Source organism: Homo sapiens, chromosome 22 (assembly GCF_000001405.40).
Source record: "Homo sapiens chromosome 22, GRCh38.p14 Primary Assembly".
NCBI lineage: Eukaryota > Metazoa > Chordata > Mammalia > Primates > Hominidae > Homo > Homo sapiens.
In genome coordinates, this window is record NC_000022.11 from 50,085,972 (window position 1) to 50,100,557 (window position 14,586).

General features: G+C 45.3%; 1 protein-coding gene across 16 annotated transcripts in view; it reads left to right on the plus strand.

The window, feature by feature from the left end:
* The window catches only part of MOV10L1 (Mov10 like RNA helicase 1), a 71,682-nt gene continuing 61,130 nt past the window's right edge, over positions 4,035-14,586 (plus strand). For 10 of the 16 annotated variants that reach the window (XM_011530696.2, XM_017028833.2, NM_018995.3 and 7 more), the window contains exons 1-3: positions 4,035-4,214; positions 6,030-6,214; positions 13,472-13,631. In XM_011530696.2, coding sequence (XP_011528998.1) covers positions 4,118-4,214; positions 6,030-6,214; positions 13,472-13,631 — 442 coding nt within the window. In that variant the 5' untranslated portion in view covers positions 4,035-4,117. Of the gene's footprint in view, positions 4,542-4,966; positions 5,492-6,029; positions 6,215-13,471; positions 13,632-14,586 lie in introns of those variants that run through there. The other 6 variants (XM_011530697.2, XM_005261923.5, NM_001164105.2 and 3 more) reach the window with 4 other exon arrangements.

Here is a 14,586-nt window from a genome sequence, read left to right on the forward strand (position 1 = left end):
CTACAGCAACGGGTTCTTTGTGCACATTGTAAAAAGGCTCAAACTAAAGTTTCTGAAAAACCAGCTCCTTAAACCATGAACCCACATTAAAACTTGAGCAAAGTCATCAGGTTCCAGACCATGGGATGTTCTGTTGTCTTCGTTTCAATCAAGCAAGAAGCTTTTAGTAAGCTTTTATTAGCTTTTAGTAAGTTTTTATTAGCTTTTAGTAAGATTACACATACAAGCATCCCTGTCCCAGTGAAAATGCCCACTAAATCACCTCGATCAAAATGCGTAAGTGTCAAGTACGCATAAATGCAGCTCAAAACACTTTGCTCAACCTCACCCCCACAGGAAACAGCAGTGATAAATTTTTAGCAATAAACGAAAGTTTAAGCTATACTAGTATTTTAGGGTTAGTTAATTTTGTGCCAGCCACCACAGCCAATGTTCTGTTGTCTTCATTTCAATCAAGCAAGGATGAGAAATAATTTTCAAAAACTATAATCTGTGAAGTCAAGAACTCATTTTAATGGATTGAGAAACCTCCCAAACTTCACTATCTTTTAAAGCGATAAACGGGATTAGTGGGAGTGGGTCCAACTGGATCGAATCCTCCTGTGTTTCTTTTTGTTTGGAAAAAAATGTTAATCGGATTTCAACATTTTTTTCTTTCAAAAGTTGCTCTCCACTTAGAAATACAAACAAGCTGCCCTGAACCAGAGGTTGCAGAGCAAATCCCTCAGCTTCCCAGATCATAAGTCATCACTTGAGAAATGCTCCCAAGTTTCTGTTGGCAACACTAGTTTCTAGAACAGGCCCTGTTCTTTCATACAATCTTCCAACAAATTCTTGCTCCTAAAATGCCCTTCATCCCTCTGCCTGCTGATGTCCCATCATCATTCAACATTCAACAAACATTTATGGGGTGGACAAAGAAGTGACGTCCTTCCTATAGGCTGTTTACATTCATTGGGGGCACAGGAGTGCACAGGATAAACAAATTAGTGTGTTATACAGTGATATGGTTTGGCTGTGTCCCCACTCAAATCTCATCTTGAATTGTAATTCCCATAATTCCTACATGTCGTGGAAGGGGCCCGGTGGGAGGTAATTGAATCATGGGGGTGGTTACCCCCATGCTGCTGTTCTCCTGACAATGAGTGAGGTCTTATGAGATCTGATGGTCTTTTATAAGGGGCTTTCCCCGCTTTTGCTCAAGACTTCTCCTTCCTGCCACCTTGTGAAGAAGGACATGTTTGCTTCCCCTTCCACCATGATTGTAAGTTTCCTGAGGCCTCCTCAGCCCTGTGGAACTGTGAGTCAATTAAAGCTCTTTCCTTTATAAGGACTTGACTCTAAAATTACCCAGTCTTGGGTATGTCCTTATAGCAGCGTGAGAACAGACTAATGCATCCAGTGACACACATGATTTCCTCTATGAGGGAAAAGAAGTCAGGGGAGAGAAATGAGGGGCTGCTGTTTGCAGGGGCCAGGGCAGGCCTCAGTGAGAAGGAGGCAGGGAGGGGAGGCTGGCAGAGTTGAAGCAAAGGCCACAGGTTGGGGAAGGCAGGCGAGGACCATGCAAGGGGGATACAGGTAGGACAGCCAGGTGCCAGCACCTGTGGGTATGGAGACGACTCTGCTTCAACTCTGAGACAGACCTGCTGGAGGGGTCTGGGCAGAGCAGCATCCGGTCACTCACTGGGTGGAGAGCAGGCTGGGGGGTGGGAGGAGCAGGTGCTGCCTGGCATTGAGGTGGCAGTGGGCAAGTGGTGAGGAGGGACTGGGCTCTGAACAGGGTTTGAAGAGCGGACGCAATCTGCTGTCAGGGCGACGTTGCTGAGTTCTGTCTGAGCAGTGAGGACAGAGATGAGAAGACCAGGGTGGAGCAGGTGTGGAGCGAGGATCTGGAGTTCCATTCTGGACATGATGAGGCCGAGATGTCTGTGGGCATCTGCCGGGTCTACTGAGTCCAGAATCCCAGGGAGTGGCCCGAGCTGGGGAGCTGAGGGGCAGCCCTGCAGGCACAGCACCCGCTGCGAGCTGCCCTGGCAGGGAGCCCATGAGCCACCAGCCCTCATGCAGCTCGCTCTTGTTTCCAAGCTAATCTCCCACCAACCAGTAGGTCCCTGGGACCCTGCTGGCTCCTGTATGTGTTCCAGCACCCAGCCCAAGACACAGGCTTAGCGGGGATTTGAAATGCTAGGGAGTGCGCCACTCTCTCCCTTCCCACAGCAAGAACTATCAGTACACTCTGCATCCATGGACAGGCAAGGTCCAGGCTGTCATCAGACTGACAGATCTGACCTAGGAAAATAAAGCTATGTCAATCAAAAATAAGTCGGGGCTGGGCGCAGTGGCTCACACCTGTAATCCCAGCACTCGGGAGGCCAAGGCGGGTGGATCACCTGCGGGTCAGAAGTTCGAGACCAGCCTGACCAACATGGTAAAACCTTGTCGCTACTAAAAATACAAAAAAAAAAAAAAAAAAAAAAAAAAAAAAAAGCCAGCGTGGTGGCGCACGCCTGTAATCCCAGCTGCTCTGGAGGCTGAGGCAGGAGAATCACTTGAACCCGGGAGGTGGAGGCTACAGTGAGCTAAGATCATGCCACTGCATTCCAGCCTGGGCGACGGAGCAGGACTCCATCTCAAAAAAAAAAAAAAAGAAATAATAAAAAACAGAAACCACTGGAATAGTAAAGATATATATACGTATTTTGTTTTTGTTTTTGTTTTGAGGCAGAGTCTTGCTCTGTCTCCCAGGCTGGAGTGTAGTGGTGTGATCTCAGCTCACTGCAACCTCCACCTCCTGGGTTCAAGTGATTCTTCTGCTTCAGCCTCCCAAGTAGTTGGGATTACAGGCATGCGCCACCATGCCTGGCTAATTTTTTTTGTATTTTTTTGTAGAGACAGGATTTTGGCAGGTTGACCAGGCTGGTCTCGAACTCCTGACCTCAAGTGATCTGCTCACCTTGGCCTCGCAAAGTGTAAAGATATTTTTAAAATAGAGAAAAATCAATGAAATCAAGGGATGATTTTTTTTAAAAACTCAATAAAATTGATAAATATAGACTGATCAAGGAAAATGAGAGGGATGAGATAAATTACCTATGTCAAGAATGAAAGATGGCTCATCATTATGGACCATACAGACGTTAAAAGGATAATAAGGAAATATGCTGAACAACTTTATGCCAATAATCTGACATCTAATAATTGGATGAAATGGACAAATTCCTTAAAAGAATTACCAAAGTTTATTCAATATTACCTTGATAACTTGAATAGCCCTCTAGCTGATGCAGAAGTGAATTTCTCATTAAAAACCTTCCCACAAAGAAATCTCGAAGCCCAAATGGGTTCCCCAGCGAATACTACCACAATTTTTAGGGAATAAGTTACCCCATCCTACTCCCAGGTCACTGCAGGCCCGGCTTAAACCGACCCCAAACCAGACAGACACAGAAAACGGGAGGTCGGCCACAGAGCAATCTGCTTCACCAGCACCGTCCCCAACCTTGGACAAAGCGTTACCAAGCTGAGTCAGGCAATACACCAAAAGGATAACGAATCGTGACCAAGTGAGTTTTCCAAGGAGAGCCAAACAATGTAATTCCCTATGGGCTGAAATAAAAAGCTACAGGATCATTTGAATACATGCAGAAAAGCGTTGCAGAAAATTTCACACCCACTCATAAGAACTCTTGGAAAAACAGGAATAGAGGGAACTTCCTCAACTTGATAAAAAACACCAACAAAAAACGACTCCTAACATCACTCTGGGTGGTGAAAGCGCACTTTTCCCTAATGTGTGGGCGGCAAGAAGGCGGACCCGCTCGAAGCTCCGCCCACCCACGCGAGGCCCCGCCCGCCCGCTCGAAGCCCCGCCCACCCGGCGGTCACACCGCCTTGCGCGCTCGGCATGACGTCACTCCCACCAGGCACCTCGCCTTGTCAGGAGCTGCCAGGCGCCAACCGCCGACCTCTGACCGCTACGGGTCCCGGCTCGCGCAACGACCCCAAGGCGCATGCCCAGGCGCGGCGACCCCATTGGTGGCGGGCGGCGGGAGCGGCGCGGGCGCGTGCGGGCGGCGGCAGCGGCGGTGACGGCAGCCTAGGCCGGGCGAGGGCCATGCTGAGCCTCGCAGCCAAGCTGGTGGCCTTCTTCTGGAGGACGGCGGACACCCCTAGGGAGGAAGCCGGGCAGCTGGAGCCCGAGCTCGCGGAAGGTGGCTCGCGGGAGGCGGCTGGGAGGCGGGTCCCGGGCCCTCGCGTGTCGGCCACGAGGGAGCCGCGCCCATAGGTCTTTGAGTGCAGTGCGGGCCGGCAGGCAACGCTGGGCCCGGCCTTTCCTCATCTCCGCTGGCGGGGATCCCCGTTCGCCTCAGGAGGCTTCCGACCCCACAGCATCCCGCCGCTCTGGGCGCCCGTCCTCTGTGAGGTCTCTCCGGTGACACCAGCCCCTCTTCCCGCCCTCACTTTGTGTGTTTACGCCGAGCAGCTGCCAAGTCGTCTCTCCATGTCGTTCCTCCCTGTCCGCAGCGTCATTGGCGGTGGTGTGTCTAGAAAGCCCCGAAAAACGCGGCCCCGCAGACTTGGCCTGTCCTTTCAGAACGCGCTGCGCCAAGGCGTGCCATTTCCTTGTCTGGTTTTCAAGCCCATCTTTCTAAAGCCCGGGATGCGCCCGGATGCCCTCACCGTTCCTTTCTCCTGAGGTGTTTGTGTGTGTGTGTGTGTGAGACGGAGTTTCGCTCTTGTTGCCCAGGCTGGAGTGCAGTGGCGCAATCTCGGCTCACCGCAACCTCCGCCTTCTGGGTTCAAGTGATTCTCCTGCCTCAGCCTCCCGAGCAGCGGGGATTATAGGCACCCGCCACCACGCCCGGCTAATTTTTGTATTTTTAGTCGAGGGGGGGTTCGCCATGTTGGTCAGGCTGGTCTCGAACTCCTGATCTCAGGTGACCCACCCACCTTGGCCTCCCAAAGTGCTGGGATTACAGGCTTGAGCCACCACGCCCGACCTCTCCCGAGGTTCTGATGGCTTCTCCCGATGTTTCCTTATGTGGGAATGGAATCCACAGTAGTGGGTCCCTAATTGCCTTCTGTGAGAAAAGACAGGAACAGGCTTCAGGAGGGGAGCTTCCTGCTGCAGGCAGCGTGTTCAGGGCCTCTGGATCCACGAGGGCCGATGCCCGGGGGGCCGGCTGTGTTACCTGGAGCACTTGCTCCGTGGATCTCTTCGGTAGAACACGCGCTCAGCGGTAGCTGGAGCTCCAGCTCTTGGCAGCGCTCAGATCCTATGCCTGTACTGTAACCGTCGCCCCAGGTTCCTCCCGTGGCTGGGAAGCTGCAGTAAAGGCACGTTCAGGACTCAGGACCGTGGCTGCAGCAGTGGCCAGACGGCTGAGGGCGTGCGCTGCTCCTGGGCCAGACTTGTCTGCCCAGCCCCGAACCTTTTCCAGCACCGTGTTTGTTGAGATTCTCCAGTCTTCCGAGGCTGCTGCTGATGGTAATAAAAAGATAATCGATAGTACTAATAAAACCGTGCATGCTAATGACTCCCAGATGCTGATATAAGTGGCCATTTACATAGCACTTAACGCGTGTCAGCCACGCAGAGGTCCATACATGCACGTGTGTTCTGCCACTTAACCCTTCAGCAGCTCTCTTGGGTAGTGACGATTAGTCTCCATCTTACAGATGGCAACAGGCCCAGAGTAGTTAAGGACCTAGTCCAGGGTTACACCAATGGCAGTAGAAGAGCTAGGAGTCAACCCCATGCAGTCTGTTGTGGAGTCAGGGCTGTCACCTCCACAACCACTACCTGTGCCCTTCTGAGGAAACTGGGCTGTCTGCCTCCAAACCCCACGTTCCAGACACAGCACTCTCTGATGGGATTCTCTCTGTCTCAAGTCAGCCCGTTCGGAGTCAGTGCCTCCGAACTGCAAAAAAAGGAGGCTTTTGCACTCTGCCTTTCTCTGGTGGGGTTCACTGTAGCGTACGCTTGCTTTTATGGCCAAGATAACTTCTTTGTTTACCTACCTCAGGTGACACTAAGCTGAAAACTGTACGGGGTGTCGTGACAAGGTACTGCAGCGATTATGGCATGATTGATGATATGATCTACTTCTCCAGTGATGCTGTGACTAGCAGAGTGCTTCTGAATGTTGGACAGGAAGTGATTGCAGTTGTGGAAGAAAATAAAGTGTCCAATGGACTGAAAGCAATCAGGGTAAGGTTTGAGTTCATTTGGGAACAGTTTTTCTTCGCCACGGGACTTTGTGTTGTTTTTCCTTGTGTTTAATCTATCAGACATGACCCGGCCAAGGGAGAAAGAGTGGAATGTACCTTCAAGGGGATGCTTTTGCTCTTTATGATTTATGTTTTAAAAAATAGACTGGGTACAGTGGCTCACGCCTGTAATCCCAGCACTTTGGAAGGCTGAGACAGGCAGATCACTTGAGCTCAGGTGTTAAGAGACCAGCCTGGGCAGCATGGTGAAACCTCGTGTCTACAAAAAAAAAACCCACAAAAGTTAGCCTGGTGTCGTGGCACATACCTGTAGTCCCAGCTACATGGGAGGCTGAGGCGGGAGGATCGCTTGAGCCCAGAGGGTCAAGGCTGCAATGAGTTATGATTGCACTACCACACTCCAGCCTGGATGACAGAGCAAGACCCTGTCTCAATAAATAAACAAACAGCAGTCTTTGTAAATCATTCAAACAACATAGACATGTATACTTTAGAAAGTAAAGTTTGCCTATGAATTTATGCTGTGGAGAACATAGCAATTATATATCCATTATTTTCTTGCTTTTTCAACAATTTAATGGTTATCACCAAAGTAACATCAATAATATACAAATTTATACTCTTAGGAGCAGAATGAGAGACTGCACTTAATTTGCACTTAAGCCTTAAGTATGGTAACTTTTCTTTTTCTTTTTGTTTTTGTTTTTGTTTTTTTCTGAGACGGAGTCTCTGTCGCCCAGGCTGGAGTGCAGTGACGCAATCTCAGCTCACTGCAAGCTCCGCCTCCTGGGTTCACGCCATTCTCCTGCCTCAGCCTCCTGAGTAGCTGGGACTACAGGCACCCACCACCACACCCAGTTAATTTTTTTGTATTTTTAGTAGAGACGGGGTTTCACCGTGTTAGCCAGGATGGTCTGGAGCTCCTGACCTCGTGATCTGCCCACCTCAGCCTCCCAAAGTGCTAGGATTACAGGTGTGAGCCACCGCGCCCGGCCTCATGTTTTTTCTATGAATTATTTTTGGGTCCTTTGTCCACATTTTTGTTGAGTTCAGCTTTTTCTTTTGTTAAAGCTTATATATTAGGGAAATCAGAGCTTTTTAAGGAAAATTATTATATGAAAGTGTTAGGAATATTTTCCCCAGGATCATCTTTGACTGTGTTTTATAGTTTCATTTTTTGTAGTTAAGTGTGCCTCTTTTCCATGTAGCTTTTGGATGCTGTAAGAAGCCTTAGGGAGGCTTATTCCACTTCTTATTCCTAATATTCAAATTTTACTCTGAAAATTGTTTATTGACAATTAGAATTTTTTTTTCAATTTTTGAGACAGAGCTTTGCGCTGTCGCCCAGGCTGGAGTATAGTAGTGCGATTATAGTTCACTGCAGCCTGGAACTCCTGAGCTCAAGCGATTCTTCCACCTCAGCCTCCTGAGTAACTGGGACCACAGGTGTACACCATCATACCTGACTAATTTTTAAAATTTTTTTGTAGAAATGGCGTCTCACTGTGTTGCGTAGGCTGATCTGAAACTCCTGGCCTCGAGTGGTCCTTCCACCTCGGCCTCCCAAAGTGTTGGGATTACAGGCATGAGCCACCATGCCTGGCCTGTTTGTTGATATTTAAATATTTGACCTGCCTGGAATTTATTTGGGTGCACAGACTGAGAGAAGGAACCAGACATTGCTTTCCTAATGGCTAGCCAGTCATCTGAGTAGCTCACTTTTTCCCTGCTGATTTGGAAAATTCCTTAATCATGTATCAGAATCCCACCTGCATGTGATGTGGTCCTGATGCTTGTAAGGGGGCCCCATGGCATGGTTGCTGTGATAGGTGGTGAGCAGGTTTCCCTTCTTTGCTCTTATTAGCATATGGTATTTTTCTGGCTCTTCACATGTTCTGGATGAGTTTGGAATCTTGTTTCTCCCCCTCTGCCCAGATTTGCTTTGGATGGCACTGAGTTTATGCATTTCATTTAGAATAATTGATATTTGGGTCATATGGAGTCTTTTCCATATGTCTGTCCATTTATTTAAGCCTTCCTTTGTATTCTTTTTATAGTTCAATAGTTTTCTTCTTTTAGGTCCTGTAAATTTCTTACTAAATTTATTTTCAGGAGTTTTTATGTGTTCTATTAACATCATTTTCCATCGTATTTTCAAATTAATCTTTTTCTTCCTGTATGGGAAAGCTTTCAATTTTTTTTTTTTTTTTTTGAGACGGAGTCTCGCTCTGTCACCCAGGCTGGAGTGCAGTGGCATGATCTTGGCTCACTGCAAGCTCCATCTTCTGGGTTCACACCATTCTCCTGCCTCAGCCTCCAGAGTAGCTGGGACTACAGGCGCCTGCCACCACGCCCAGCTAATTTTTTGTATTTTTAGTAGAGATGGGGTTTCACTGTGTTAGCCAGGATGGTCTCGATCTCCTGACCTCGTGATCCGCCACCTCGGCCTCCCAAAGTGCCGGGATTACAGGCATGAGCCACCATGCCCAGCGATTTTTAAATGTAATTTGGAATCTGGCAAACGTATTGAGCTATTAACTACTTTTTAAAAATACTTGAGATGTACTTTATTATACTATTATAGTTAGTACCATCTAATGCTTAGTATCATCTTTCTCAAATTAAAAAAAAAGCATACCCAATAAAATAATTCAAAGTCTAGAATTCCATCATTCAATATGGTAGCCACCACTCATGTGCAGCAGTTTCGATTTATTAAAACTAAATGCAACTTACAGCCAGGCGCGGTGGCATAAACCTGGAGTCCCAGCACTCGGGAGGCTGAGGCGGGAGTTCGAGACCAGCCTGGGCACATAGAGACCCTGTCTCTTAAAAATAAATAAATAAAAGTGTTTCCTCAGTTTCCCTGGCCACATTTCAAGTGCTAACTGAAGCCTAGTGACTACCAAATTGGGCAGCACACATAGAGAACATTTCTGTCAGCTCTGGCTTAGAGACTGTGAATGCAAAGTAGAAGAGCCTCCCTCCACGTTCCCCACCTGCACTTTCATGCTGCAGACCTGATGCTCTTCTGGGTTTCTGTTTCTACCTTATCTGGTAGATAGTTGAGTCACTTAAACAATATGCTTGTATCTTTTATTAATTCACCAATGTTAGTATTTATGGACTTCCATCATCAGAGATGTACAACTGGCTCATTCACACTACCCTCTTTTCCTCTCCCAATTATTTAATTATATTTTTTCCTCCAAAGATTTCCTTTTGAACTTGAAATTATACGATAGTCCTCATGTTTTTGTGTGTATTTAAAGGAGTACTCTGGGTTCAGAATCTTTGAAAGAGGATCTGGAACCCAGAACCTGTAGAGATGATGTTTACCTCATTCTCTGAGCTGTGGTCGTGTACTCACACGCGGCCTTCCAAAGCAGGTTCTCATACCAAATTCCCGTTGATTTTAAGATACACCATTAATTTGATAATGAAAATTTAAAATGGAAACGTAGGTTGTGAGACTCATTCTGATCTCAGAAATGTGACAATGTGGAAAAACTGGCCCCTGGGTGTCCAGCAAATCCCAGCCCTCTTGGTGGTCAGCTGCCCTTCACTTGTTCCATCTTGTAAGGAATGCAGGACCTTTTTTGTTATGGTGAAGAGGGTTCATCTCTACTCACAATCTTGCTTTTATAAATTAGTAATGGATTTTTCAAGTACTTTTCAGTATCTTCCAAATGATCCCATAGTTTCTGTCCCTTTGCTATTAATATGGTGGAAAATACAGTTTCTGTGTTGTGAGCCGTTCTCACTTGATGGGAATGATCCCCATTTGGTATAAACCTGAATGTACTTCTGGATTTATTTTTTATTTAGATATTTTTCTTGTGGTAAAATATGCGTAATATACCATTTTAACCATATTGAAATGTACGGTTCAGTGGCATTAAGCACGTTCACATTGTTGCGCAGCCATCACCACAATCTGTCTTCAGCACTTTTTCAGCATCCCAGTAGACACTCTGTACCCATTAAACAGTTATTCAGTGTTCTACTTTATGTCTCTATGAATTTGCCCATTCTAAATACCTCATATAAGCGGAATCATGTGTCTGGCTATTTGACTTCTGTTTTCAAGATTTGCCCATGTAGCATGTATCAAAAGTTAATTCCTTTTTTATGGCTGAATATTCCATTGTGTGAATAAATCACATTTTGTTTCTCCATTCATCTGTTGATGGACACTTGGGTTGTTTCTACTTTTTGGTTGTTGTGAATTGTGCTGCCATGAACAAGTCTGTCTGAGTCCTTGTTCAGTTCTTTTGGGGCTACGCCTAGGAAGAGAATTGCTGGGCTGTATGGTAAGTCTAGGTTTAACTTTGTGAGGAACCAGATGTTTTCCACAGCAGCTGCACCGTTATATGTTCCCACCAACAGTGCATGAGGCTGCCACTTTTTCTGTATCCTTGCCAACACTTGCTATTTTCTTTTTCTTTTTTTTTCTTTTGACAGTAGCTATTCCTCGTAGTTGTGAGGTAGTATCTCACTGTGGTTTTGATTTGCATTTCCCTAATGATTTGTGAGGGCATCTTTTCATGTGCTTATTGGCCATCTATATATCTTCTTTGGAGAAATATCTACTCAAATCCTTTGCCCGTTTTGAAATTAGGTTGTTTTCTTGTAGTAGGAATTCTTTATATATTCTGGATATTAATCTCTCATCACATACATGATTTGCAAATACTTTCTCTCATTTTATCAATTGTCTTTTCACTTTCTTCATGGTATCCTTTGATGCACAGATGTTTTAAATTTTGGTGGAAGTCTAATTTGTCTCTTTTATTGCATGTACTTCTGATGTCACACTCAAGATACCATTGACTAATCCAAGATTATGAAGATTTTTTTCTACCAAGAGTTTTATAGTTTTTGCTTTTAAATTAAAGTCTTTGATTCATTAAAAAAAATTTTTTGAGACAGGATCTCACTTTGTTGCCCAGGCTGGAGTGCAGCAGCACAGTCACAGCTCACTGCAGCCTCAACCTCCCAGGCTGAAGTGATCCTTCCACCTTAGCCACCTGAGCAGCTGGGACTACAGGTGTGTGCTGCCTCACCCAATTTTTGTATTTTTTGTAGAGATGGGGCCTCTCTATGTTGCCCAGGCTGGTCTCGAACTCCTGGGCTCAAGTGATCCGCCCATCCCACGCCTTTCCAAATGCTGAGATTATAGGGGTAAGCCACCACGCCTGGCCTCTTTAATCCATTTTGAGTTAATTTTTGTGTTTGGTGTAAAACGAGAGTCTAACTTTATTATTTTGCCCATGGTTATTTTCCCAGCACTATTTTTTTTTGAGACTGCACAATTGCAGTTTATTGAATGGTCCTTGTCAAAAATCAATTGACTGCACATGCAAGGGTTTATTTCTGGGTCTCTTTACTATTCCATTGGTTTATATTTCTGTCCTTACACTGGTGCCACACTAGTTTGATGACTGTAACTTTGTAGGAAGTTTTGAAATCAGGAGGTATGAAACCTTCAATTTTGTTACTCCTTTTCAAGACCATTTTGCCTATTCATGGTCCCTTGAGATTCCATTAGAATTTTAGATGAGTTTTTCTATTTATATAAAAATAGACCCATAGGACTTTGATAGGGATTGCGTTGCATTTGTTGGGTTTTTTTGTTGTTTGTTTGAGACAGAGTCTTGCTCTGTCACCCAGGATGGAGTGCAATGATGTGATATTGACTCATTGCAACCTCCGCCTCCCTGGTTCAAGCAATTCTCATGCCTCAGCCTCCCAAGTAGCTGGGACTGCAGGTGCTTGCCACTACACCCAGCTAATTTTTTTTGTATTTTTAGTAGAGATGGGGTTTCACCATGTTGACCAGGCTGGTCTTGAACTCCTGACCTCAAGTGATCCACCTGCCTCAACCTCCCAAAGTGCTGGAATTACAGGCATGAGCTACCACACCCAACCTGAATTTGTGTAATAGATCACTTTGGGTAGTATTGTCATCTTAATAATTAAGTCTAAGATTGTCATCTTAATAATAATTAAGTATTAAGATTAACATCTTAATAATAATTATTAAGATTAACATCTTAATAATCACATAATCACTTTGAGTAGTATTATCATCTTAATAATTAAGTCTTAAGATTGTCATTTTAATAATATTAGGTTTTCCAATTCATGAACGCGGTTGTCTTGCTGTTTATTGAGGTATTTAATTCATTCATTAGTGTCATTTTACGTGTCTTCCATCTCCTTAGTTAGGTTACTAAGTGTTCTGAGGAATTAACCTATTAACCTAACAGTGCTGTTATAAATGGAATTGTTTTCCCTTTCTTTGGATCATTTTTCTTGATTTCCTTTTTGGATTTTTCATTGCAAATGTATGGAAATCTGATTTTTGTATGTTGACTTTGTGTCCTGTGCTGGATTCATTTATTAGCTCTAACCATTTTTTGTTTCATTTACGTGTGTGGAATCTTTAGAGTTTTCCACAGATGAGATCCTACCATCTGTGAATAAAGATAATTGAAATTTGAAAGTCTTGAAGTAAGCATGGGCATCCTTGCCTGGTTCCTGATCTTAGGGGAAAGCTTTCGGCCTTTCACCATTGAGTGTGGTGTTTGTTGTGAGATTTTTGTTTATGGCCTTTCTCGTGTTGAAGAGATTTCCTGCGATTCCTAGTTTATTGAGTGTTTGCATCATAAAAAGTGTTGATTTTGTCAAATGCTTTTTGTGCATCAGTTGAGATCATCGTGATTTTTTCCCTCATCTTATCAATGTAATATGTTGACTGATTTTCATATGTTGAAACACTTTTGCATTCTGGGATAAACCCCACTTAGTCATGGGGTATAATCCTTTTAATATGCTGCTGCATTTGGTTTGATAATATTTCATTGAGGATTTTTGCATCAGTGTTCATAAGGGATTGCTATAGACTCAATGTTGGTGTCCCCCAAAATACGTATGTTGAAATCCTGACCCCAGTGGAATCTTATTAGGAGGCTTTGGTGGGTGACTGGGTCACAAGGGCAGAGCCCTTATGAAACATACCCCAGAGAACCCCTTTGCCCTTTCTGCCATGTGAGGACACAGCAGGAAGACACCGACGGTATACCAGGAAGAAGGCCCTCACCAGACCCGGAATCTGCCAGGGCCTTGATCTTGGACTTGCAGCCCTAATGGTCTCAGACAGGCATGCCAGCCTGTAGTTTGCTTTTCTTGTAGTTCTCGTATTATGGTTTAGAGCGGTGTGTTTGTTTTACAGGTAGAAGCTGTCTCTGATAAGTGGGAAGACGACAGCAGAAACCATGGGAGTCCCTCAGACTGCGGCCCCCGAGTGTTGATTGGCTGTGTGACTTCCCTGGTGGAGGGCGCAGGCTGTATCAGTCAGACCACCTACTTCTCTCTGGAGAGTGTGTGCGAAGGTATGCTCAGGGGTCTGTGTTCCACATTGAAAATTAGGTTTTGTCTTTTAAAGAATTGTTATGGACCAGGCACGGTGGCTCATGCCTATAATCCCAGCACTTTGTCAGGCTGAGACAGGAGGATCGCTTGAGCCCAGGAGTTGGAGGCTGCAGTGAGCTATGATCCAGCCACTACACTCCAGCCTGGGTGACAGAACACAACCCTGTGTCTATATTTGTGATGGCTACACACAACATTGAAGGGATCAGTTTTGGGCATGCTTTGTTTGTTGAGAGGGTTTCGGGATTAGAGTAGCTTCTCCAGGTGCTGGCTTCACACAGAGGCTCTTGGATATTGAGTGGACTATGGGAGAGGGCACCAGGTCACTGTTTTGTTTTTTTTGTTTTTGTTTTTGTTTTTGTTTTTCGAGATGGAGTCTCACTCTGTTGCCCAGGCTGGAGTGCAGTGGTATGATCTCAGCTCACTGCAACCTCTGCTTCCTGGGTTTGATTGATTCTCCTGCCTCAGCCTCCTGAGTAGCTGGGATTACAGGTGTGCACCACCATGCCCAGCTAATTTTTTGTATTTTTAGTAAAGATGGGGTTTCATCAGGTTGGCCGGGCTGGTCTCGAACTCTTGACCTTAGGTGATCCACCTGCCTCGGCCTCCTAAAGTGCTGGGATTACAGGCATGAGCCACCACACCCAGCCAGGTCACTGTTTAAACTTGTGCTTTTATGTGTTTTGTGTTCATTTGTTAAATGCAGTCAGTAATTTCTGGGTAGTTGTTGCTTCCATATAATTATAGTGTTATGATCTAAGTTAGTGTTACTGGCATGCTGAGGTACTATTTAAAGTACTTTAGATGTTTTAAAATAGGGCTTGGGGATGACATTGTACGTTTCCTAAAGTATATATCCTTTTTCTTTCTTTCTTTCTTTCTTTTTTTTGAGATGGAGTCTCACCCTGTCGCCCA